The sequence below is a fragment of the Homo sapiens genome, chromosome 4 (assembly GCF_000001405.40).
Source record: "Homo sapiens chromosome 4, GRCh38.p14 Primary Assembly".
Taxonomy (NCBI): Eukaryota; Metazoa; Chordata; class Mammalia; order Primates; family Hominidae; genus Homo; species Homo sapiens.
The window spans coordinates 122,718,628-122,745,746 of record NC_000004.12 but is presented as its reverse complement, the minus strand read 5'-3'; the positions used below and the strand labels follow the sequence as shown (position 1 = coordinate 122,745,746).

Below are 27,119 nucleotides of genomic sequence, written 5' to 3'. Positions count from 1 at the left end.
GGCAGGAGAATTGCTTGAACCCAGAAGGTGAGGTTGCAGTAAGCCAAGATCACGCCACTGCCCTCCAGCCTGGGCAACAGAGGGAGAGTCTGTCTCCAAAAAAACCAAAAATGTTATATGCAGATTTTTGATTGTGCAGGGCGTTGTCATCCCTGTCCACTGTTGTTCAAAGGTCAACTGTAGATGATGTTCCAGTGGTTGAAATCAGAAGCCACTTCCAACAGCTTTGACTGTGGTGTTTTCATATCTCTACCAGTAGGAATGGCTGGTAAACCCAGACAAAATTTAGGGCCCTGTTTGACCAGTCGTTTTTTGAGACTGGAGAGATTTACAGCACTCAATTCCTTTGGCAATGAAACAAATAAATGCTGTCTCTTTGGCCTCACCAGCAAAAAGGAGGCTCAACACCTTACTAAGACTCTACCAGTATAGGAGGCAGTACATGATGCCATCATGGGTGGCTCCCATATGTGAACATGTAGAAACACAGGGACCAGCACAACCTTGTTTCATTCTGATTGAACTTATGCTTCTCTAAATTTGTCAGAGTGGCCTTGGATTATACCATGTATAGCAACCGAGGCTGCAACTACTCAGTGACACTACTTATGTGACTGAAATCCACATATGATGATTTAAATCAGATTTGACAATACTTCTGAACTAGAGTAACCTGGACCCTTTGGGCTTATGTACTTGTATGTGGGGAAAATAAGCCATAGAAGGGCTCTCCATAGGGAACAGGTTTGTTTTTTGGCCCAGCTATTGCACCCATAATTATTGATAATAACACCACATATCAGTACGTCAGTCAAAGCTCCCTTTATTGGGTCATAAAGTATAATAAATTGTCCTTCACTACATTCTGGCTGCCTAATAAAAAGACCTATTGGTCCTCCCTTGGAACTTAGAGTTGATTGAGTCAAGACCTTGGGGGACAGGACTGAGGTTAATACTGCAGGTTGGCTTCATCCTGCTGCTGTGTCTGATAATAGCCTGCATTAATTGCTATATGAGACCAAATGAACAAATTTGGTACTGACTAAACAACCCGACTGTCAGGTTAATCAGAGTAGCTGATAGAGTGGCATACTCATGTGAAAATTCAAGTTTGGCCAAGAACATCTCAGGCTGAGGAGCAGACTGTTGGAAGAGACTATCCACTATGGGCTCTGAGTGTCCCTGCATACTTACTGGGTATGTCAAGAATGCAAGGACTTTGTCTTTACCTAGTCCATGTCCTAGGCTTGTGTTTACACTAAGCTATCTTCAAGTATGGGGTAATAACTCCCTTTGGACAAAGACCAGGATTTTTTTGCTTACTATAAAAGCAGTTAATAACCCAAGCTTACAACATAACCCACTGTGTGCAGGCTTTCATCATGGGCCCTTTGTGTTCCTCCTGTGGGAACTAGAAAAATGAGGAACTGAATAAAACCAACATGAAGCTCTGGCTACAGCTTTTGCTGTGAGCGATAAGTCCTTTGTTTCTGACCCAGGTGTCTTATGCATTCTGTAGCATCCCACGAAACAGTAACAGGCTAACTTGTTAGCTTATAAGTAGGGTAAAATCTCAGACCATGCACAGTTATTGACAGACATCAACTATTTTCTTCTTGGCAATAGCTGGCATTTTAGGCACCATGACTTGGCTATCAATATATTTATTATTAGCATGACATATTATGAAAAATTATTTTCCAAAGACTTAGCCAGTAACACTACAAAAATAGAAAGCCCGTTAATTCCTGTGAATTTATCTGTGTGTGTCCATGTCCAGTAATTATTTCACTGTCTGTCTGAAGTACTAACAATACTAAATCCAATGCTCGGCGCCACGCCTCAATCTTTGGTGTAACAACGTCATAAACTCTCGGAATCTGCTCCAGTTTATTTGAAATGTCTGAATTAAAAATTCTACTATTTAGTTTACTATATTCATTCAAGATGTAAGATGAAGGAGAGCCAGAGTCTGTGGCATTTTGCAGATGATGTTGAATGTATGTGCTGGCTTCAAATTCTGATGAGTAATTGGCAGTGTTATATAGGAGAGTTGAAAGGTATTTCTGCCATCCATTTGCCAGGAATTTAAGCACAGTTGGTCTGTATATTGCCAGAGATGAAGCCAGCCAAGAGGAAGTATTATGCAGCCACCCTGAGCAGGCATGGTTTTCTTTTTTCAGAGATTGCTCTGCAAGAATATGAAGACAGCTAAGACACAAAAATTCAACTGCACCACCTCCAAGGAAGACCTTTTCCTCTTTTAGAGCATAATACAAACGATAGGCACATGTCCAGAACCTATCTTCTTTGATTTGCATCTGTGCAGTAACTGGGTTAGTGAGCACGGCCGTAACCAAATTAATTCCTTCTGTTTTTAATAAGATTGCGATTCTGTTGTTCCTATCTACAACATCCAAAGGGCTGCTTCTCCAGAAGGTCACGCAGACCCCGTCGCCCACACAATCTTCATTCACTTGTGTAATGTAGGCCACCTGTACTGCTCCTGCAGCCTCTGCAAAAGCCTGCATCACACTGCCATTCACTGAGCCGATTACCAACCGCTTACTGTTTATACATTTTTCAATTAAGCGTTCGGACACATTTCCTTGTACCAGGACAAGGTTCACCTTGAACTGGATTAACACCTGTAACACGTGATTTGCCCACAGTTCTTCTGAGCTGTCTTCTTGAAGCCGCATGCTATCTAATACTGTTTTAATATTTGCAGACTTATTAAATCCCAGGTGGCGGTAATTCTCTGTGAGGTCACCCTCAATGAGAACTATTCGCACAGGCTGATTCTGCAATTCCTTGATCACAGGATTATTAGATACTGACACAACAGTGATATATCCTGGACAAACACAAGAAGAAGTTTCAGGTAAGCCTGGTAGACAGCAAGTGAAAATTCTTGAAATGTCAAACATAAATGGTTTTGTACAGTTGCCTTGTTGCACACAAGCATTCTGATATTGCAGCTGTACTGCTTCTTCTACTAACTTCATGCTGCTGTGATCTCCATGACTCAAGCCTACTGCCAACTCTACCAAATCATTACATCTGTAAGTTTTGTGAGTAGCTGTAACATGTTCTTGAAATCCATCTGGTTTGCTTACCCCTTCAGTATTATCTGTCCTATTAAAATGCCTACTGTGGATTAGTATTGACTGTCTGCAGCAGGTATCTGCAAGCAGGCTGTTTTTCAGAGTTCGTGATGTGTTGTTATCTGCTTCAACCTTTGTCTGAGGTTTAAATAATTCATATGATTTAAGAGGTCTCCCAGAAAGGTTGGAAATGGTCAGTGTTTGAGAGGCAACATCTTTGAGACCATGCAATTCCTCTATCAAATCAGTATCTGAAGGGACCTGTAGAAAAGGACACAAACTTACACTAAATGTTTCAAGTTGAGAAAATGTTTTTGTGCTGTCCATACAGTCAAATATATTGTGAACAGGTACATGAAGAGAAACTACCTCTTCACTACAAAAGTTTAAGCCTTCTGACATTACTGATACTATTATGGAAATGGGGACACCAAGATGAAGACATTCTTCAACTGCACTGCTCCAAGCACCAACAAGAAACAAAAGAGTACTGATTCCAGTTCTATATGTGTTGTTTTGTGCTTGAACTGCTTCATTGAGAAGTTGTCCCACTGCACTGGTTAAATCCAAACTTTCAAGAAGCCTTACTGTTGAACTGATTAATACACTTTCATGACATTCTTCATCTATAATAAATTTGGATGATTTTAGTGGGCCTAGGAAAGTTCTTCCTGTTTCCGCGAATGATGAAAGTTGTTGAAGTCCCATGTGTCTTCTTTTGTTTACGACTCTGCAAGCCATCACCATGTATCATGATCTGCAAACAAAATAAAAACTTGTAACTTTATTCAGTATAATTCATAGTTATAAATGCTATATAGAAATAAAAACAAGATATGCTCCCTGCTTTTGAGGTACATATAATTTCCATGAAAAGTGGTCAGTGCAATGATACAGTATTATTATTCTATTAATGATAAAGGTATGGGGGAATGGAAGAGAAACACTCCACCCAACAGAGGAAATGAAGCATGAGGGCTGTAGGCAACGTTTCCAGAAGAAAGCAATTCTTGGAATGAGTCTTGAAAAATAACTGGAAAGAGTTACAAGTTGAAGGAGGTAGTAGTAAATGTACATATATGTGAAAAAAACATAGTGTATTCAGGGAAATAGAAGTAGCCTGGTTTTATGAGAATATAAAAAATGTAGTGGAGCGGCTGGGCGCAGTGGCTCATGCCTATAATCCCAGCACTTTGGGAGGCCGAGGCGGGCGGATCACGAGGTCAGGGGTTCGAGACCAGCCTGGCCAATATGGCGAAACCTCGTCTCTACTAAAAATACAAAAATTGGCCGGGTGTGGTGGCACGCACCTGTAGTCCCAGCTACTTTGGGGGCTGAGGCAGAAGAATCGCTTGAACCCAGGAGGCGGAGGTTGCAGTGAGCCAAGATGGCGCCACTGCACTCCAGCCTGGGCAACAGAGCAAGACTCAGTCTCAGAAAAAACAACAACAACAAAAAAAAACATGTAGTGGAGAACAGTAGCAGATGAAGCTCTAGAAGAGGAAATGAGCTGGTTTACGAAGGGCATTATGTGCCATAGCAAGTAACTTAAACTTGATCCTGTAATGGGAACCGTTAAAATGTTTTTAATAAAAAAGATCAAGAAACAACTTGATGTAGTGTTTGAAAACATGTACTCTAAACCTAGAAGTCTGGGTGTGAACTTAATCCTACCGCTTTACTAGCTATATAGCCCTCAGCAAGTTATGTACTTTATCCCTTAATTTCCACATCTAAAAAACAGGGATAATAATAGAAGCTATTTCATAGTCATTATAAGGAGTGAATATAGTACTTAGAACAATGTCTGGCACCATGTTTTATGAGTTCTTGTTTTAATAACAATAATAATTGTAATGTTTTGGATATATTACCACTCTGATAACACCGTAGAGGACTGACTAGACAAGTACCAGACTGGAGTATATCCCATTATATATTATAGCACTACAAACATTCCTAGTCATTCCTTCGTTTCATTCATTCATGCATTTAGTGAGTATTTCTTAAGCACCTACAATGTACCAGGAGGCACTGTGTTAATTGCCGGGATTACAAAGACAAAGATTATACATACTCTGCCCTCAAGGAACTCCCAATCTAATTGTGCAGAGAGATATGAAAATGAAGCATAAAAATCCATCGTGAGCAGTGCTCAGAACAAAAGTCTGTTCAAAGCAAGACACAACCATGGATTTATTCCACCACAGGTTCAATGGGAAAGGTATGTGGCATTTCTCCTCCTCTTCAGAATAATGAATGCTTGACATAGCTTTCGTCAGTCTTTCAGTTCCAGTGTTACAAGGGAGATCCCCAGTATTACAAGTCACAGCGAACTCAGAAATGATTAGCATTCTTTTTATTTTTATTTTTTAGACAGGGTCTCGCTCTGTCACCTAGACTGGAGTGCAGTGGCATGGCTCACTGCAGCCTCGACCTCCTGGGCTTAGGTGATTCTCCCACCTCAGCCTCCCAAGTAACTGGGACTACAAGTGCATGCCACCATACCCGGCTAATTTTTCTATTTTTTTTGTAGAGATGGGATTTCGCCATGCTGCCCAGTCTGGTCTTGAAGTACCAGGCTCAAGCGATCCTCCTGCCTAGGCCTCCCAAAGTGCTGGGATTACAGGCATGAGCCACCACACCCAGCCAGCATTCTTAATGTTTGCTTACAAAGATATTTCTCTGTCAAAGTCTTCATTCACTTAAAGAAAACCATTTATGATGCATCTTAGAGAAAGCATGCTCACATTTGCCTTTTATTGCCAGATTTCTCTACTTGGCCTTAAAGGGAGCGGGGGCATGGGACGTGTTCTAATAATATATGCTAAACATGTAGGGGAGAGACAGCTTGTCATTGCAGAGGTGGCTGACTGCCACTGAGCTTCGCCCTTATACTCACCCAACAAATAGTTAATGAGGAGCTACCCCTAACTCCCCACATCCCCATACCCTCCGAAGCTGTCTACATGGGCTGCTCTGTCCTTGGCATGTGCCCTTGAGGGCTGATCCCACTTGGCCACACAAAGGTTTGTGCTCTAGGGTCTTTGAAAGAGAGAATTCCTGCTCTTCAACTTTCAAGCCCAAGCCTTAACATTTCAAGGGCTGCTTCTTCCTCTGAAATAAGTTGCTTTTCACTGGTCATTCATGATTTGGGTGAAAAGGTGGAGTCTGTAGTTCTTGGTTGCTTAATGCAAAAGGCCTGACTCACATTTCCTATAGTGCTGTGGGACATCCAGCCACAGGCATGAAAAGGAGGAGCAAATATCTTTAACTTTTGAATGAACTGTCTGTTTTCCATAACAGCTGAACATTCCCACCAACAATGTATGAGGGTTTTGATTTCTCCACATCCTCACTGCATCAGCTTCCTAGGGCTGCCATACCAAATTACCACAAACAACTGGGTAGCTTAAAACAATACTTATTTATTCTTTCACAGTTCTGGAGTCTAGAAGCCCAAAATCAAAATGCTGGCAGGTCCATGCTCCTTCTGAAGGATCAAGGGAAGAATCCTTCCTTGCTTCCTCCAGCTTCTAGTTGCTCCTAGTGGTCCTTGGCTTCTGACTGCATAACTCTAACCTCTGCCTCTGTTTCAAACAGCCTTCTTATAATCCAGTGATACCAGTCATTGGATTTAGGGCCCACCTTAATCCAGTATGACCTCACTTTAGCTAATTACATCTACAAAGAAACTATTTTCAAATAAGATCACATTTTGAGATGCTAGAAGGACATGAACTGGGGGGAAATATTCAGTCCAGTATACTGAACACTTTCCATTTTTGCTTTTGTAATATTTTGTAATATTATAGATATCCTAGTGAATGTGAAGTGGTATTTCATTGTGTTTTTGACTTGCATTTTCCTCATATTGAGCATCTTTTCATGTGCATTGGCCATTTGTGTATCTTTTTTGGAGAAATGTCTATTCAAGTCTTTTGACCATTTAAAAATAGAGCAGTTAGTCTTTTTTTGGTAAGTTGTAAGAGTTCCTTATACATTCTGGACACTAGATCCTTATCAAACTATGATTTGCAAACATTTTCTCTCATTCTGTAAGTCAGTTTCCACTTTTTGGATTATGCATTTTGATGACCAAATGTTTTTAGTTAGAAATTAGAAATCTAGGCCAGGCACAGTGGCTCACGCCTGTAATCCCAGCACTTTGGGAGGCCAAGGTGGGCAGATCATGAGGTCAGGAGATCGAGACCATTCCTGGCTAACACAGTGAAACCCGTCTCTGTTAAAATACAAAAAAATTAGCCGGGCATGGTGACAGGCACCTGTAGTCCCAGCCACTCAGGAGGCTGAGGCAGGAGAACAGCGTGAACCCGGGAGGTGGAGCCTGCAGTGAGCCGAGATTGCACACTCCAACCTGGGCAACAGAGCGAGACTCTGTCTCAAAAAAAAAGAAAAAGAAATTAGAAATCTAATTTACCTATTTTTTTGTTGTTGTTTGATGAAATCTAATTTACCTATTTTTTTGTTTGCTCATATTATTTGTGCCATATCTAAAAATCCATTGCCAAATCCAAGGTATGAAGATTTAGCCCAATGTTTTATTCAAAGAGTTTTATAGTTTCATCTCTTATATTTAGTTTGTTGACCCATTTTGAGTTAATTTACATATAAAGTGTAAGGTAGGAGTCCAACTTTATTCTTTTGCATGTGGATATCCAATTGTCCCAGTACCATTTGCTGAAGAGACAATTCTTTTCCCCATGGAGTGGCCTTAGCATCTTTGTCAAAAATCAATTAGCCATAGATGTCTATGGATTTCTGGACTCTCAATTCAATTCCACTGATCTATACATTCATCCTTATGCCAGTACCACAGGTTTTAAGTACTATAGCTTTGTAGTAAGTTTGGAAATCAGGAAGTATGAGATGCCAAATTTGTTCTTCCGTTTGTTTTAGCTTTTATATTTATGTCCATAAGTCATCTTAAATTAACTTTTGTAAATGGTGTGAGGTAGGGGTTCCTCTTTCCTCATGGATATCCAGTTGCTCCAGAATAATTTGTTGAAAGGACAAGCTTGAAAAGATTGACTTTTGGGTTTTGTTTTTCATTTCGAACATGTTATGAAAGCTTACTAAGTATGAGGCATTTTACAAGTATTATGTAATGTAGTATTCATTCACAACAACATGAGGGAGGTACTATAATCTATTTTAGTGATGTGGAAAATGAAGCAGAATAGTTACATAACATATACAAAATTTCACAGCTAATTTGTAAAAGGCTATGGACTAAAACCCAGGTTTGTCTAATGTTAAAGCCTATGCTATTAACTACTATATAATTCTGCCTTTTAGGTGCCCCTTGCCCAGTATGATAGTAATTCACCCTCTCTTCTTTAGAATCTTTTACTGTGTTTCCCTTTTCCAAACCTTTCTGCCTTCTTCCAAACCTTATTCATACTCTTAACTTGTACATGTATCAGGGTCTCTGCTTATGATCTCCTTTCTATACTATGCTTAAATCACAAGATATTACTACGAGTAGAAAAGTCAGAGAGAACTTAGAGCGAATGGAAACAGTCATGGGCTATTTCAAATTTAATCTGTATTTAATTTATGTGAAAAAGTTTCCTAGATACAAAAGGCATGAAATTATTTAAAGAAAACTAATGTATAAGCAAAAAGTCACATAAAACTGATATCAAAATCAATATTCAAGACAAATCTGCTTTGGCATTTGAAAAAGCTATTCCAAGTTTTAGTAATTTTTAAAAATTCTCAGCATTCCCAACTCTAGAAGAGCTCCTAAATTATTATTTTGAACAGGTTACAGTCGGCTATAATTAACATAATATAAAAACTCAAAACAAAAATGCCCCATCCTCTAAGAGATGGGGTATAAAAAGGCAAAAACAGCAAAGGGGATAACAAAGTGGATAATTTCAAAGATGATAAGTACTTCTGGCAACTCTTCTTGGCATTACACAGACACAATCTGATTCTTGTCCTGCTATGCATGTCCTGTTATGCACCAATGTTTTCCACAAACAGTTCTCTGTTTTCAGTACTTGCCAGCTTAATGTTTCTTTGAGTTTCTAAGTGTGTAATGGAAGAGCAGAGTCAGACAACTTAACTGGAATTTTGACATCAGAATAAGTTTTTTTTTTCAAAAGATTATGTCCAGTTTTGTCTAAGGTACTCAGTTTAGAGTAATAAGACATGCAATGCTTTCAGGAGCTGCATTTTGAAAAATTATAATATTTTCTTGATGGGCATGATTAGCCTTTTATTATCTAAATCAACTGTTTGCTCATCTCCAGTCTATTCCCAATACAGAAGTCTAATCATGTCACTCTACTGTTTAAAAACCTCTAACTCAGAAAATAAAGCTTTATGCCTTTGACACAGGAGTCCCTTTTAAAAATGAACTCATATCCTTTCACTCCTAGGCTCAAAATCTTGCAAGGCCTACCCATTTCACTTGGAGTCGAAGTCAAAGTCCTTACAATGCCCTAACTATTTGCAGTCCTTTCTTTACCCTTCTGACTTTATCACTTACTATTTTATCCCTTGGCCACTTTGTTCTGGCCTCTTTTTGTAATGCTTTGCATGTTCCCTATCTTAATGTTTCTGTTCTAGTTGTTCCCTCTTTCTGGAATGCTCTTCCCTAAGAAATCTATTGCTGCATCACCTTCAAATATTTTCTCAAATTTTCTGCTTTTCAATGAGGCCTACCCTGAGCACTCTATAGAATACCACAAATCCTCTTTTCCCTCTGTACTCTGGATTTGTTCCATCTGTTATACTTTCTTTTTCCCATAACACTTATTCCCTTATAAAATAGGATATAGTTTACTTATTTATTTTTTATAGACTACATCTCTCTCTTAGAATGTAATTTCCAGGAAGGCAATTTTAGTCAATGATGTATATCCCGAGTACCTACAATATTGCCTGACACACAGCAAGTACTCTATAAATATTTGGTAAGTGAATGAATTTTTTTCACCATATTTGTTCCCCCAAATTTAAGTACAAAACTGAAGCAAGAGAAAACAGACGGTACTTTTAGTATTTCTCCAACATGAATATAAGTTTTAACCATCCTTGGAGTTGACTTGATTCCTATTTGGCACCGCCTTAGTTGAGGCCCTTTAATTGCTTCTAATGAGAGTTCCTCCTTCATATGGTGGTCAGAATTAGCACTGAAAAAGCACAAACCTAAACAGATTACTCCACTGCCAAAAAACATCTATTTATCTTAAAAAAGAAAGTCTTTACTCCTTGGCTTGATATATGTGCCTTATAATCTAACCTCAACCTAATTTATGACTCTTCTCCCACCTTTCCTTATAAACCTCATGATCTTGTCACGCTAGAACATATTTATTTTCACTAAGCTATACTGATTTGAATAGTCTATATTTTCTTCATCTCCATAGATGCTATAGATCTTTCATGACCCAACGCAAATGCCTCATTTCCTATCAGGACTTCTCTAATGCCCTGGGGTAGAGTTGTCCCTCCTTTCTGTGCTCCCAACGCACTTTCTATACCCATCTACCAAAGCAGATTAAAAATACCCTGTATTAAAAACATTGTATTATGTTTGTGTCTAGCTCCCCCACTAATCTGTAGATTCCTTAGTTATTCATCTTTTATATTCTATTTTTATTTCTTTCGAACTCACCCAGTAGTTGGCATAGTGCATGACATATAGAAAACATTAAATACATTTGGGAGATTTAAGAGTGCCTATGTGTTTAATGTTTTCCTGGATAATGATGATGATTAATGTTCTAAAGTGCAGTTAGATTCGTTAATAGCTAGTTTTCAAAACTAATTACATCCTATTCAAGATCTGGGAGTTGGAATCTGAGCCTACAATTAAAAAAACATTTTAACTAGCAGTAAATATTCCAAATATAAAAGCCTAAATCATAGTGATATAAAAATAGGTTAATATACTACTCCGCCATTTAATTGTCATTAGATCAAACATGATCCAAGAGATCCTCGAAATTAGGATTGGGTTGAGTATATACTTGGTCACTATTCATTTCTGGGTCTAAGAAATCCTTTTAATATTAGTATTAAAAATGAAGTATATGGCCGGGCGCAGTTGCTCACGCCTGTAATCCCAGCACTTTGAGAGGCCGAGGCGAGCGGATCATGAAGTCAGGAGATGGAGACCATCCTGGCTAATACGGTGAAACTCCGTCTCTACTAAAAATACAAAAAAATTAGCCGGGCGCGGTGGCGGGCGCCTGTACTCCCAGCTATTCGGGAGGCTGAGGCAGAAGAACGGCGAGAACCCGGGAGGTGGAGCTTGCAGTGAGCCGGGATTGAGCCACTGCACTCCAGCCTGGGCGACAGAGCAGGACTCGGTCTCAAAAAAAAAAAAGTGTATGACCTTGAAACTGATCAAGAGCAACTTTCCAAGTGAGATAAATGACGTGAAAAATCATATATTAAAGTGACCACATTTTACTTAACTCAAAAATTATCTTGGATTTGTGCCATTTTAATTTTCACTGGGTAACTTTATATGGAAAAATCACCTGCAATATGAGGATAAACTTACCTATTTTCCAGAAGCCTAATGAGATTTTTATCAATGATTACAATACTTGCGTGTCTGTCTGGGATATAATATGAACAAGACAGGCTGATGGCTTTGGAAAATGTGCCATGTTTCTACTCAATGAAGCATGAAAAGTGATTTGACAGAGTGCTTCAAGAATGCACTTTGCACTTGTTTTCCTCTCCTGCCTTCAGGAAGATAAGTGAGACAAAAAAAAAAAAAAAAAAAAAAAGACTAAAGTTAGTATTCTTCCTGAATCCATTTTTGAAGAATCCAGTATAATTTTTAGAAAATATTTCCTCTAGAGAAGACATTGTAGGAGGCATAAAAGGGGTCCGCATGTGTGAGCAATTAAAGGTTAGAAGTTTTAAGATTCTCTCATTCCTTCATTCCCACCAGGAAGTCAGTGGTCCATCCTACCTCAGTCTTTCTCCCCTGTCCTTTAAGCTGATTCCTGGCCAAATTCAGAACGGGCAGAAGCAGTAAATCTGGCCCTCTGGACAAGAGATTGAGTTGGTTTACAAAAGTTTCACAAGTATCTAAATCTAGGCCGTTACTGAATCAACTGGATAATCAGACTACCTGTGTCTGACTCTGAAGTGCAGATCAAGTTGATATCGTTGACAACTGGCCAAATCTTAGGACTGGGCCAAGGAAATGGCTGGATGTGTGTGTGTGTGTGTGTGTGTGTGTGTGTGTGTGTGTGTGTGTGTGTTGGGGTTGGAGGGCGGGGTCCGATAGTAATTATGGGTGGGGCCAAAGTCCTACCTCGTAAACAAATGCTACACGAAACATGTAAAAACGTTTATCTATGTATGTAGTGAAGCTTTAAATACATCCCAAGACCCATGCTTATCCCAATACCCACGTCCCTCCAACGACACTGTTACCCCATGCCACTGCTATACAGAATTCTGGTGTCTACCATGCCAGAATCCCTGCCCAAAACAGGGAGGAGGTAAATGGCTGAAGGCCCAGCTCCAGGCACTGTAGAAAATGAGGAAAGTCTAGCGGCAAAAAGAAAGGGCAGTCCCCTCTTCCTCTAGTACTCCTAGCCACATGCTGGACCAATTCACCCCAGGACCTCCAGGCCCTAGATTCTCATTCTTTCCCTGGCCCGAAGAGGACAGAAAAATCAAACACACGGGCTCCCACGTCTTCAGGAAAGACTTAGCTTAGCAGTCAGCGGAAGCACCTCACTACTAACCTCGCTCCTTTCTCCTCTCCTACAGGGGGCTGGAGTTCCCGGCTTCCCACCGGCCAGACGCGATTCTGGCTGGGACAGCAACACCAAAAACGCCAGGGCTAGGGAGCCCAGTTCCCCGTCCGCAGTTTGCGCATGTGCGAAGAGGGGCTTCTGGAGGAGCCGGGGGCTTAGTTGCTAAGAGACACAGCTGGAGAGAGAAGTTCCGCTTAACGCCGGGCTGCGAAAGGCGGGGACGTCACGCTATTGGTAGGGAGTAGAGAGAAAGGGCTGGTTTAAAGGCCTTTTTTTCTGTCCATTGGATGAACTGGATGTCAATAACTCAGGCTGGGTGGGCGGGGCTGAGAGAGGTCGGTGAGAGCGGCCTTAGCAACCGCCAGTGAGCTGTGAAGACTTGGGTTGGGCGGGGCTGCGGGAGGTGACGCCGGGAGGTCCCGGCTGAGAGCGCCGGCTGCCGGCTGGGGACCTGGTGAGTGTGAAGCTGTAACCTTCTGCTGGGGCCGGGGCCGAAGTTTTTCCGCCAGAGCAAGGAAGGCTGCCCCTGGCAGCAACTGCACTCCTTCCTTACTCCTGTTGAGATTCATTTTATAGTAGGAAATAGGTACTTTAATATAGTTTATCATCAATTATTCTGGTTCTGCTAACTATTCCAGTTATATAATTTATCTTTCACCCATATGTGTGTGTATTACAGGCATCTAACTACCATACAAGTTCAGACCAATGGAAGAAAAGAGCAGCAAAAATTGAACTGAATGAATCCCAAAAGCAAGAAATTAAAGACGCCTTTAATTTATTTGATATTGATGGGTCTGGAACCATCGATGTAAAAGAAGGTTCTGAAATTATTTCTAATTCTAAATCATTTTAAAAACCATATTATTTGTGGCAATCTTTAAGGCTTTCTTTAAAAGTAGTCTTCTGAAAGCTTAATATAAAGTCTCTTCAGTGCATATGCCTGCCCTGCATTAGCAAAACGATATCTTGTTAAGCATTTTAATTGTGTTTTATAAATGAGTAGGCAAAAGCCCAGGGTGTAACAGTGATGTACATGATGGCACAGTAGGACTGAAACACAGGCCTGCTGACCTAATTTTCTGTTTATGCTCAGTCCATAATAGAAAAGAGAGAAGCTCTTAATAGGGAGTTAAAAAGCTTAGAAAGAAATCATGGCATATTATAATTCCTTTTCTTCCTATTTCAGATTGCAGTGTGGGCCTTAGGATTTGAACCAAAGAAAGAAGAAATTTAAAAAATGGTAGCTGAAGTTGATAAAGAAGGAATTGGCACCATTAGTTTTGAAGATTTTTTTTTGCCATTATGAGTATAAAAATGATATAGTTATGATTTTATTTTTCAAAGAAATACTAGCAATAACCTGCTACATTTTAGGGCTGGAGCAATCAGAAGTTTTATAGAGAAGCAATTAGAACTAGGTTTTTAAGGATGGGAGATAGGAAGAGCAAGATTAAATATGTTTTCAGGGTAGTAATGAGAAGACTATGATGTGGAGAAGAGGTTTTTGTCAGGAAATAATGAGGCTATATTGCAGGATAGAGAGAATGGGGCCAGAATTTGGAAGCCTTTAATTCAGCAACATATATTGAATGCCTATTTTTGCCAGGCACTATTCTAAGGAGCATTGAAAGATACAACCTTCCATTTTGAAGCTTACATTTTTGGTAACGGATCTGAATTATGAGGTTTAATAAGAGATGCATTCTGGACCACCCTGTGCCTTCTCCACCTTAGCAAGCTCTACCTTTAAGCACCTTGAGGGCAGGTGTGAGTACATAATTGTTAAAAGACCAATAAATAAAATCAGAACACAGCTACTTGGCACATTGCTGCTTTAGACCCCAAAGATCTAATTAAGTCCAGCTTGATAAAATAAATAAATGAAAGACTGGATAGTTGCTTCTTTTTTAAAAGAGTAAAAAAGATGAAAAAGAAGAAATATTGAAGACTTTCAAATTATTTGATGATGATGATACTGGAAGTATAATACTAACCGGTATCAAGAGGTTTGCTAAGAAACCAGGGGAAAATTTAACATGATGAACTTCAGGTAGATTTTGCTTATTTTTATAATTATAATTTATATGTAATTATAACTTATGTGATAATTTAGGATTATAATTCTAACTTTAGTTGCACTTATGCATTTAAAATAAAATTTGGTTTTGAATATGTGTTTGACTTCATTTATGTCATTTTAAATGTATTTCATATATTTACATTTTGTTTTACAGGAAATGCTTGATGAAGCTGATCATGATAGAGATGGAGAAATAAACGAGGAAGATGTTTTGAGAGTGATGAAAAAGACTACTCGTTATTAATAGCGTTGTTTTAGTCCTTGTGGAAAATTAACAAATTTGTATTTGTTATGCAGTTTTATAATTTAATATCTGAATGTATTCATTTTCAGTTTTTAGTTTATATGTACACATTGGCTTCTTGATGTCTAATCCATGTAAGAAGTTACACATCTCTACCAATATGATGTTAAATCTACAGCATCAAGAAACAAAACATAATGACTTCTTTGAGCCATTAATCCAAGAACAGTATTGATTCTAGCTGCTCTTTTGAGAACCTTAGGTCACAAAGACTTAGAATTTTAAAGTTTGATGAAGTTGGCTTCACATCCAAATGAATTTGGCAAACAAAACTTATATTTTCCTTTTGTGCAACCCAAAAAAACCTGATGAACATTTGCTTTTTAGTCAGTTACTCAAATACATAAAGTATTAAATAGAACTGTCTGGAAACATTATTTGCTAATTTTCTTCTTTTAGTTATAAAGAAAATTCAAAATAGCACTTACATCACCCATATTTCCCTGTAAGTTTGACTCTATAGTGAGCACTTAATACCTCTGTGCTAGGACAGGTGGTGTAGAGTTTTATTTTTAAAAAATTTTATTTATATATTTTTTGAGACAAAATCTCCCTCTGTCACCCAGGCTGGAGTGCAGTGGTGCGATCTCGGCTCAATGCAACCTCTGCCTCCTGGGCTCAAGAGATTCTCCTGCCTCAGCCTCCCGAGTAGCTGGGACTACAGGTACCTGCCACCATGCCTAGCTAATTTTTTGCATTTTTAGTAGAGACGGAGTTTCACTGTGTTAGCCATGATGGTCTCAATCTCCTGACCTCATGATCTGCCTACCTCAGCCTCCCAAACTGCTGGGATTACAGGGGTGAGCCACCGTGCCTGGCCGAGATTTTATGTGTTAACCTCAGTAAACATATTACAAGTTGGAAGCTGATTGTATTAGCTCCATTTTACATACAAGAAAACTAAAGTTCAGAGAAGTTTTAAAAATTCCCCAGTTGCCCATTGATAAGAAATAAAACATGGATTCCAAATCTTAAGTTCTTATTCTTCATTATGCTGCTTCCCTATGGATAAAACTTTCAAGATAACTGTGTATTTTCTAACTCATTTTCAATTCTGTGACTCTTGTGATTTCTTCCTTGTGAAAGAGCCAAACTGTTGGGAAACGGAATCTCATACATACAGTCTTTTAACTCCTACTCAGTTGTTTGAGAGTGGGCCTTGGGCCTGGAACACTTCTTTTGAAGAGACTAGGAGTCCACAGAGCCTGTGCTGAACTTACCACCCCGTATAGTAATATCTTCCTCTGTTTCAGAGTCAATGTGTAGTCCTTTGCCCTGCTTAAGTGTGTGCATCATATGGCATCTGACCAACCCCACTGCTCTGTCTCCTGTGGGGGAGGGGATGGGGGTCCTTCAGCACAAGAGGAGTGTTTGCAGGCCACCTGCCCTGTGTCAGCTGCCAAGAGGGACCCTCTGGTCATGGGAGACTGAAGTCCACTAGGGAAGCTGATCTTGCTCTGTCTCTTCTGTATGTGAGTAATGTGTGTTCCACCCAGTGTTTCACTGCATTGTTTTCCTTGGCGACTTTGAAACAAGATGCAGTGGACAGAAGTGCTCAGACTTCTGCTCCTGACAAATAGGCAACAGATGCCACTTGCTCCACACAAACACTTTCTGATAACCAAGTTGTCTTTGGAGCAAGAAAGACTCATAGAAAATTAACTATAGTGACACTACCTGGTTCATTTTTAGCACAACTGAAATGAAAACTGAAGGTTTTAATTTTGTCTTGTCAACACAAGAGGTTTTATTTGATTGAAACTAGAATTGTATGTGCTCATGAGCATTCTCAAGTGTTTTCACAGTGTCTTTGATTTCTAATTATGTAACATTTCTTCTAGACCAGGGAAAAACTTGCCTATTAAATGTGCTTCATATGTGAAAATGTTAGCCTTCAAATGGTTAAAAGTATACATGAACAAGTTCCAAAAGTTCTGAATAAAAGTCTCCTTCCTATCCAAGCCCCAGTTCTTCCTAAAGACAAAGATTTTTGCCACTTTTTAATGAATCATTACAGAGAATGCATATTCATATACATATGTATACAGAATAGTTTTTTCACAAATGATAGCATATTATACACATTGTGTATATATTTGAGAAATAGTTACATAACTTGAGAAATAGTTGCATAACAATACAAATAAAATATCTGTATAATATTCCATTCTAATGGAATGGAATGGCCATATAATTCATTATATCAATTATTATATTTGACAGTCTTCTAATGGGAGACATTTTAGTTTCCAACGTTTTGCTTAAATTAATATCCTTATACATATGTTTAATTTGGGAATACCTGTACAATTAATTGTCACAAATGAAGTGATTGGGTTAAAATCAATATGCATTTTAATTTAAATATTTTTATTTTTGATAGATATTGCCTTCTAAAAAGATTTTTGCCAAATTACATTTCCAAAAATACTATATGAAAATGCCCAAAGTATTATCAAACTTTTTTGATTTCTGTCAGTCTGGCAAGTTGCAAATCATACATTTTTCATGCTCATTTCTCTTATGAGAGGCATTGAGTGTTTTTTCACATGTTTAGACTCTATTTGTCTATTCCTTTTTGTGTATTGTCTAACAAAGTCCTTTGCCTATTTTTCCATTGGATTTTAAAATTTATTGGTTTGTGGCTGGGCACAGTGGCTCACACCTATAATCGCAGCACTTTGGGAGGCCGAGGGAGGCAGATCAGAGTTCGAGACCAGCCTGGCCAACATGGTGAAACCCCGTCTCTACTAAAAATACAAAAAAATAGCTGGACGTGGTGGCAGGCGCCTGTAATCCCAGCTACTCGGGAAGCTGAAGCAGGAGAATTTTTGAACCCCGGAGGCGGAGGTGGCAGTGAGCAGAGATCGCATCATTGCACTCCAGCCTGGGCAACAGAGTGAGTGAGACTCCATCTCAAAAAAAAAAAAAAAAAAAAAAATTGGCCAGGGGCGGTGGCTCATGCCTGTAATCTCAGCACTTTGGGAGCTGAGGCAGGCGCATTACGAGGTCAGGAGATCAAGACCATCCTGGCTAACATGGTGAAACCCTGTCTCTACTAAAAATAAAAAATATTTGCTGGACATGGTGGCAGGCACCTGTAGTCCCAGCTACTCAGGAGGCTGAGGCAGGAGAATGGTGTGAACCTGGGAGGCGGAGCTTGCAGGGAGCAGAGATCGCACCACTGCACTCCAGCCTGGGTGACAGAGCGAGACTCCGTCTCCAAAAAATAATAAATAAAAAAAATCACTGGTTTGTAAGAGCATTTTATATACAAAAGAGATTAATCTTTGTCTGTCATATATGTTGCATGCATTGTACCATTTGTTATTTGCCTTTTGATTTGCATTGTGTTTCAGCCTTTATATTTTTTTCTTTAAAAAAATGTTTTTATTTCCATAGGTTTTGGGGGAACAGGTGGTATTTGGTTATATGAGTAAGTTCTTTAGTGAGATTTTGGTGCACCCATCACCTGAGCAGTATCACTGAACCCAATTTGTAGTTTTTTGTTTCTCACCCCCTCCCACACTTTTCCCTGAGTCCCCAAAGTCCATTGTATCATTCTTATTCCTTTGCATCCTCATAGCTTAGCTCCCACTTATGAGTGAGAACATATGATGTTTGGTTTTCTATTCCTGAGTTACTTCACTTAGAATAATAGTCTCCAGTTCCATCCAGGTTGCTGCAAATGCCATAAACTCATTTCTTTTTATGGCTAAGTAGTATTCCATATTATATATATATGACAATTTCCTTATCTACTTGTTGATTGATGGGCATTTGGGCTGGTTCCATGTTTTTGCAATGGCGAATTGGAATTGTGCTGCTATAAACATGGATGTGCAAGTATCTGTTGCTATAAACATGGATATGCAAGTATCTTTTTTGTATGATGACTTCTTTTCCTCTGGGAAAAGTAGTGGGATTGCTGGATCAAATGGTATTTCTACTTTTAGTTCTTTGAGGAATCTCCACAGTTTTTTCCATAGTGGCTGTATTAGTTTACCTTCCCACCAGCAGTGTAGAAGTGGTCCCTCTTCACCGCATCCACACCAACATCTATTATTTTTTGATTTTTTGATTATGGTCATTGTTGCAGGAGTAAAGTGGTATCGCATTGTGGTTTTTTATTTGCATTTCCCTGATCATTAGCGATGTTGAGCATTTTTTCATATGTTTATTGGCCATTTGTATATCTTCTTTTGAGAATTGTCTATTCATGTCCTTAGCCCACTTTTTGATGGCATCGTTTTTTTTCTTGCTAATTTGTTTGAATTCCTTGTAGGTTCTGGATATTGGTCCTTTGTTGGATGCGTAGATTGTGAAGATTTTCTCCCACTCTGTCGGTTGTCTGTGTACTCTGCTGACTGTTCCTTTTGCTGTGCAGAAGCTCTTTAGTTTAATTAAGTCCCACCTATTTACCTTTTGTTTTTGTTGCATTTGCTTTTGGGTTCTTGGTCATGAAGTCTTTGCCTAAGCCATTGTCTAGAAGGGTATTTCCGATGTCGTCTTTTAGAATTTTTATAGTCGCAGGTTTTAGATTTGTGTCCTTGATCCATCTTGATTTTTTTTTTTTTTTTTTTTTTTTGAGACAGAGTCTTGCTCTGTCACCCAGGCTGGAGTGCAGTGACATGATCCCAGCTCACTGCAACCTCTGCCTCCTGGGTTTAAGCGATTCTCCTGCCTCAGCCTCCTGAGGAGCTGGGACTACAGGCTCGTGCCACCACACCCAGCTAATTTTTTGTATTTTTAGTAGAGACGGGGTTTCACCATGTTGGCCAGGATTGTCTCAATCTCTTGACCTCATGATCCTCCCACCTCAGCCTCCCAAAGTGCTAGGATTACAGGCAAGAGCCACTGCACATGGCCTTGAGTTGATTTTTATATAAGGTGAGAGATGAGGATCTAGTTTCATTCTCTTACATGTGGCTTGCCAATTATCCCAGCACCATTTGTTGATTAGGGTGTCCTTTCCCCACTTTATGTTTTTGTTTGCTTTGTCGAAGATCAGTTGGCTGTAAGTATTTGGGTTTATTTCTGCGTTCTCTATTATGTTCCATTGGTCTATGTGCCTATTTTTATACCAGTACCATGCTGTTGTGGTGACTATGGGCTTATAGTATAGTTTGAAATCCAGTAATGTGATGCCTCCAGATTTGTTCTTTTTGCTTAGTCTTGCTTTGGCTATGCGGGCTCTTTTGTGGTTCCATATGAATCTTAGGATTGTTTTTTCTAGTTGTGTGAAGAATTATGGTGGTATTTTGATGGCAATTACATTGAATATGTAGATTGCTTTTGGCAGTATGATCATTTTCACAATATTGATTCTACCCAAGCCTCTACATTTTAAGTTTACTTCATGAGATGATTTCTACAGATATTTGTGCTATGTAACAGTAAAATGGCAATGCTTTGTCTTTTAACAGTATTTAGTCTCATAATGGCCATATGACTCTTACCAGACTGTAGCCTAATTCTAAGAGTAAAAAAAGAAAGGATATTTAAAAAAAAATCATGGCATTGAATTTTCCTTTTGAAACATAATCATCTTTACCTTTTAGTTGAGATGATCTGGATTTAAGCCCATACTGGAGTAAGGGAAAGTTTTGTAAGTTTTGGATCTATTTATTTAAATCTATCCCTCTGTGTTTTAGGGATAACTTCTTGTATACCCAATTAAAATGCCTCAAATCCTAAGAATGGCCCTGGGAATATTACTAGAACACAAAAATCAAAGACCAGGACAGAACTCTTGAGCTATTCTGGAACATATTCAGGACTTTGTGATTGCCTTGTAGAAACTGACCCTTTTATGGTAGATAAGTTGGAATTTGATAGAGTGCTTACATCTCAAAATGCTTCCCTACTCAAAATACTGTTGAAATTTATAAATTTTATTATTTAAAAAAGGGAAAATTATAACTATTTTATGGTTTCACAGTCAGGTAAAGGCAGATAAGGTAAGAGTCTGAGACTGTATCTTATATGTCAGATAAGAAGGGTTGGAGAATTTTAGTCAAAGATCACAGAATTTACTTGCTTTAATTCCAAAACAAATTCAAGCATATCTAGTTCTCTATGTTTCTCCTCCTCTTTTCAGAGCAAGATCAAATTCATCAATATATGGACAATTTAAGAGGCTTTTATTCCAACCATTCCTGAGGAACCAAATTCTGCCAACAACCATGTGAACGAGCTTTGAAAGTGATCTTTTTCCAGTTGACCTTTGAGATAGTACAACTCTAGTTGACACTTTGATTACAACAAGTGAGAGACCCTGAAGCAGAGGAACAAGTGAAGCCACCCCTGGATTTCTGATTTATAGAAACTGTGCAATAACAATTATTTTAAGCTACTGAGTTATGGGACAGTTATGCAGCAATAGATTACTGCTATAGTCCTCCATCTTGAGACTTGTGTTAACTTCTCCCCTATTGAATGGCTAGATATACAAGGAACCAACTAAGAGTTCTATCAAATATTAAATAAAGATGAGATTAAATAGACTTATTACATGATGGCATATTTAAAATAGCAATATCATCTATTAGGGTGATGCTCTTTTATAACTATTTGCTTGTCACACACGCATCTGAAACTCAGTGAGTTTGCTGCCTCTTTCTGTAGCTTAGATATCATGGGGACTTTAGTTCACCAATGAGAGGGCTATTAAGAACTTTTTTAAACATCCCATTTTGCAGTTCCTGCCACCCTGAACCTGCCACTCAAATACTTTCTTCCTCTAAGCTGTTGTTTAGTATAGATGTCCTGGAGTTCTGATTTATATTTTAGTTGCAATAAGCAGATTGTTGGCAATGAAATTAACCACCTGCCAGGTTTCAGGTAGTATCAGAAGTGGGGAAAATTTATGGTTTGTGCTGACAGAACTTTTGCAACTCCAAAGACAGACTGATAACAAACACATCAAAGAGGCCACAACACCCAATTTCAGTTCTTGCTTTCATTCCAGAATGGATAAAAATTCATATTGGATGGATCACAGTCAAGTCTGAGAATAAGCAGAAAACTGGGGATATAAGGAAATGGAGCGAAAGCTAAATGCTTCTGTAATTATTTAAGAAATTGAATCTGAAAATAAACACTTTTCCACAAAGAAAACTCTAGGCCCAAATAATTTCATTGGTGTCTATTACCATTTAAGGAAAAGCATTTTTAATTCTTTCAGAGAATAGAAAAAGAGATAACGCTTCCAAACTTGGTTTGTGAGGTAGGCAACAACTTGTTACCGGAACCTACAAGGATAGTTCATTATTTCTACAAGGATAGAACCTACCAGGATAGTTCAAACCTAATTTGGTTTGTTCCAGGACAACCAAATTGTTCAGCATTTGAAATTTGATTAATGGAATATATCATATTTTCAGAATTAAAGAATCATGTAATAATTTTAATAGGAGAGAAAACCCACACTTGATAAAATTTGACGTCCATTTATGATTAAAACTCAGGGCAAACAAAAAACAAGAGAGAATTTCTGTGAACAGCGTAAGGGTATTTTGAAAACCTATAAACATCAGTTAAACTGTAAAACATGGAAAACTTTCTAAGATGAGGAATAAGAACAGAATGTCCTTTATTCAACATTGTACTGAAGTGCTAGCCAGTACAATAAAGTAAGAAAAGGAAAAATATACATAAAGACTGGAAAGGAAGATATAAAATCTTATTTGCAGGTGACATGATGATACATACAATAGAAAATCCAAAAGAATTTATATAGATTGCTGAAAGTAAGGTTGTGATGCAAATACAAACATCGACACAATTGTATTTTTAGGTATCAGGTACAAATAATAAAGAGACCATAACATTGTTAAAAATATAAAAATTTTAGGACTAAATCTAATGAAGATACACAGGTCTTCTACATTAAAAATCTATTAAGAAGTATTGAGAGAAACTAAAGAAGACATAAATAAATGGAGAGCTATTATGTTCATGGGTTGGAAGTCTCAATGTTATAAAGACATTAGTTGTCTGCTTATTGATCTACAGATATTGTGCAATCAAAATCCTAGCTTGTGTTTTTGTGTAGAACTTGACAAGTTGATTCTAAATTTTACATGGAAATCCAAGGGGACAATGCACAACCAAAGCACAGGTAAGAGGACTAGCTTGCCTGAATAACAAGACTAAATATAGATCCACAGTTATCAAAATAGTGTGGTATGGACTAGGATAGACTAGTGGACCGGTGGAATAGAATAGAAAGTCCTGAAACACGCCCATACTTACATGACTTGATTTAAGACAAAGGTGGCTCTCCAGAGAAGAGGGACATTTTCATAATAATGGTTCCAAGTCAATAGTATATCCATAAGGTATAAAAGAAAATTTGACCCCCAGTCTCACACCATACATAAAAATCAATTCTAGAGGATTGTGGATTTAGATATGAAAGGTAAAAATATAAAGCTTCCAGGAGAAAATGTAGGAAAATATCATTTTTATAATGATTTGTAACTGAATTGCATTGTTGTCAGAGAATTTGATCTAAAAACAACTCTTTGAAATTTGTTGAAACTCTGTTTTTAAAGCATGTCCACAAGTTATTTGACATTCCTCTCATCAACAGGTAGAGGCTTAATTTCCCTCCCCTTGAATATGGATGTCTTCAGTGACTTGCTTTTAACCAATAAAATGTGGTAAAGGTGACACTATATGACTTCTGAGGATAGGTTAGAAAAGGAGATATAGTTTCTGCCTGGCTCTCTAGCCTGGCACCCAGCCTTGGAACCTAGCCACCATCCCAAGTCAGGGAGCTATATAGAAAGACCACATTTTGGTGTTCTGGACATAGTGCCATGGAGATTCCAGCCAAGAGCTAGCATCAACTACCAAACAGACAAGTTAGCAAGCCTTTGAGTCATCCTAGCTAATGCTGAGTAGGGCATAATAGACAATCTGCTCCCACTAAACCCTGCCTAAATTGTAGATTCATGAATAAAATAAATGCTGTGATTGTTTTAGACCAGTAAGTTTTGTGGTGGCTATTTAAACAATAGAATATTACATGCATCTTAGAGTTATTACGGTTAACATTTAATTCCTACTTGTAACAATTCCCTAAAGATGGAATAATTTTACAACAGATTAGCTCTGTTTATCTCCCTCATCTACTGTGCTATTGTCATGTATTTTACTTCTAAATATATTCAAATCCCTACAAGGTATAATTATTATTTTTTGTCTTTTATAAACTGGTGCTCTTCATTCTTTTATGCTGGCTTGTTGTTCCATCTGGGATAATTTTCATCAGCCTAAATAACTCTTTGGTATTGTGGTGAAGATCTGCTGGTGATAAATTCTCTGAGCTTTTGTCTGAAAAGGCCTTACTTTTTGCCTCCTTTTTTGAATAATATTTTTGCTGTGTATAGACTTCTAAGTGGCAAGGTAAGAAGTTCTTTTTTCTTTTAGCATTTTAATTCCATTTCAGTATATTCCAATTTCCATAATGTCTGTTGAAAAGTAAGCTAATATTAGGTTGGTGCAAAAGTAATGGCAAAAATTACTTTTGCACCAACCTAATAACTTTATTGTTGCTTCTTTGAAAATAACATGTGGCTTTTTTTTTTTTATTCTGAGTGATTTTAAGACTTGTCTATTTGTCTTATTAGCAACTTAACTATGATGTACCCAAGTGTGGTTTTCTTCATAATTTTATTTTACATGAGATTCATAGAGTGTCTTGATTCTGTGGTTTCATGTCTTTTAGCAACTTTGGAACATTTTTAGAGCCAGTATTTCTTCAAATGTTGTTTCCGAATCATCATATCCTCTCTATTTCTAAGATTCCAATTGTGTTAGACTTTATCACTGTTTTTCATGTATCTCTCATACTCTTTTCTGTATTTTCCATCGTTTTGCCTTTCTGTGCTTCAAACTAAGTAAGTTTACTGGCTTGCTTTCCAGTTTACTGGAAGTTCTCTGTTCTGCTGCATCTAATAGATTCCAGGTCTTTGTTGAAATTATCAATATTTTCCTCTGTTTTTTTTGTTTGTTTTCTTTTCTTTTGAGATAGAGTCTCGCTCTGTTGCCCAGGCTGGAGTGCAGTGGTGTGATCTTGGCTCACTGCAACCTCCGCCTCCTGGGTTCAAGCCATTCTTGGGCCTCAGCATCCTGAGCAGCTGGGATTACTGATGTGCACCAGCATGCCTGGCTAATTTTTGTATTTTTAGTAGAGATGGGGTTTTGCCATGTTGGCCAGGCTGGTCTCGAACTCCTGGCCTCAAGTGATCTGCCCGCCTCAGCCTCCCAAAGTGCTGGGATTTCAGGCATCCTCTGTTTTATTGAACACATTAATGATCTTTATTTTCAGCTCCCTGTCTGATTACTTCAATGTTTTCATTATCTTTAGGTCTATTATTATTGTACTTTTAAAAGTGTAGCTTTTAGTTATTTGGTCTTGTTTTTTAGCCAGATATGAGTGAAAAATTGTAGAGCCTATAAATACTGTTACTTTCCTCCAAAGAAGATTAAGTTTTCTTCCAGCAGGTGGATAAGATATAAGAGGATCATTTTGATTCTTTGGCGGAATGGGGAATGGTTTTAGTCATTATTAAGGTTTTCCTCTTTCAGATTTGTCCTTACTCATAGGGTAAAATACTTCTGCATCTCAATTGAAAGCCCAGGATATCTTTACTGACATACCCTTCCCCAAGACCCCTTCATCTAACCTGGGCTTGAACTCAAATTTCTATCTTTGCAGCATTGCACAACTGTCTAATTAAACTTTTGCTCAGCTCTTTGTTCTCACAGATCCTGTTTTCTGCTAGGTTTTTCCATAGTCTTGTGTCGGGAATTGGTTCCTTCCAGTGGGTTCATGGTCTCGCTGACTTCAGGAGTGACGCCGCAGACCTTCTCAGTGAGTGTTACAGCTCTTAAAGGTGGTGCGTCCGGAGTTGTTTGTTCCTCCTGGTGGGTTCATGGTCTCGCTGACTTCAGGAATGAAGCTGCAGACCCTCACGGTGAGTGTTACAACTCATAAAGGTAGTGTGGACCCAAAGACTGAGCAGCAGCAAGATTTATTGTGAAGAGCAAAAGAACAAAGCTTCCACGACGTGGAAGCCGACCCGAGTGGGTTGCTGCTGCTGGCTCAGGTGGCCAGCTTTTATTCCCTTATTTGGCCCCACCCATGTCCTGCTGATTGGTCCATTTTACAGAGTGCTGATTAGTCCATTTTACAGAGTGCTGATTGGTGCATTTACAAACCTTTAGCTAGACACAGAGCACTGATTGGTGCGTTTACAATTTTTTAGCTAGACAGAAAAGTTCTCCAAGTCCCCACCTGACCCAGAAGCCCAGCCGGCTTCACCTCTCAGTCTTGGGCATATGAAACTAAAGAGAGGCCAGGCGCGGTGGCTCACGCCTATAATCCCAGTGCTTTGGGAGGCTGAGGTGGGCGGATCACGAGGTCAGGAGATCGAGACCATCCTGGCTAACATGGTGAAACTCTGTCTCTACGAAAAATATAAAAAATTAGCCGGGCATGGTGGTGGGCGCCTGTAGTCCCAGCTACTCGGGAGGCTGAGGCAGGAGAATGGCGTGAACCCGGGAAGGCAGAGGTTGCAGTGAGCCGAGATTGTGCCACTGCACTCCAGCCTGGGTGACAGAGCGAGACTCCCTCTCAAAACAAACAAAGAAGAAAATAAAGACAGAGTCGGGAACCTAAAAGAGCAGTGGGGTGGGGCTTGGATGACCTTTTTCATTTCATTTCATTTCATTTCATTTCATTTCATTTCATTTCATTTCACATCGAATCCCTGTTCTCTATAATTTTTTTCCTCTCAAGTCTTAGCCCAGTTTAGCAGCCCCAGATTCCAATCTATTTCTCTTCA

At 38.8% G+C, this 27,119-nt stretch overlaps 1 protein-coding gene and 2 pseudogenes across 4 annotated transcripts in view, besides 2 other annotated features; 1 reads left to right on the top strand and 2 right to left on the bottom strand.

Moving 5' to 3' along the window:
- BBS12 (Bardet-Biedl syndrome 12) overlaps nt 808-27,119 on the bottom strand; it is a 44,498-nt gene continuing 18,186 nt past the window's right edge. The window contains exons 1-3 of one of the 3 annotated variants that reach the window (NM_001178007.2): nt 12,863-13,043; nt 11,656-11,843; nt 808-3,864 (exon numbers count right to left, since the gene is read on the bottom strand). In NM_001178007.2, coding sequence (NP_001171478.1) covers nt 1,722-3,854 — 2,133 coding nt within the window. In that variant the 5' untranslated portion in view covers nt 3,855-3,864; nt 11,656-11,843; nt 12,863-13,043 and the 3' untranslated portion in view covers nt 808-1,721. Of the gene's footprint in view, nt 3,865-11,655; nt 11,844-12,862; nt 13,044-27,119 lie in introns of those variants that run through there. The other 2 variants (NM_152618.3, XM_011531680.3) reach the window with 2 other exon arrangements.
- Nucleotides 5,028-6,374, bottom strand: LOC727709 (DNA damage regulated autophagy modulator 1 pseudogene; annotated as a pseudogene).
- Nucleotides 12,584-12,793: an enhancer, noted in NCBI's record as "active region_21875". NCBI's record gives its function as "activates an Ori minimal core promoter by ATAC-STARR-seq in GM12878 lymphoblastoid cells {active_cell/tissue: GM12878}" and the evidence as "EXISTENCE:reporter gene assay evidence [ECO:0000049][PMID:35858748]".
- Nucleotides 13,154-13,373: a silencer, noted in NCBI's record as "silent region_15665". NCBI's record gives its function as "represses an Ori minimal core promoter by ATAC-STARR-seq in GM12878 lymphoblastoid cells {active_cell/tissue: GM12878}" and the evidence as "EXISTENCE:reporter gene assay evidence [ECO:0000049][PMID:35858748]".
- Nucleotides 13,289-15,558, top strand: CETN4P (centrin 4, pseudogene; annotated as a pseudogene). The gene is made up of 3 exons (NR_024041.1): nt 13,289-13,328; nt 13,554-13,695; nt 15,112-15,558. The product of NR_024041.1 is annotated as a centrin 4, pseudogene (transcript).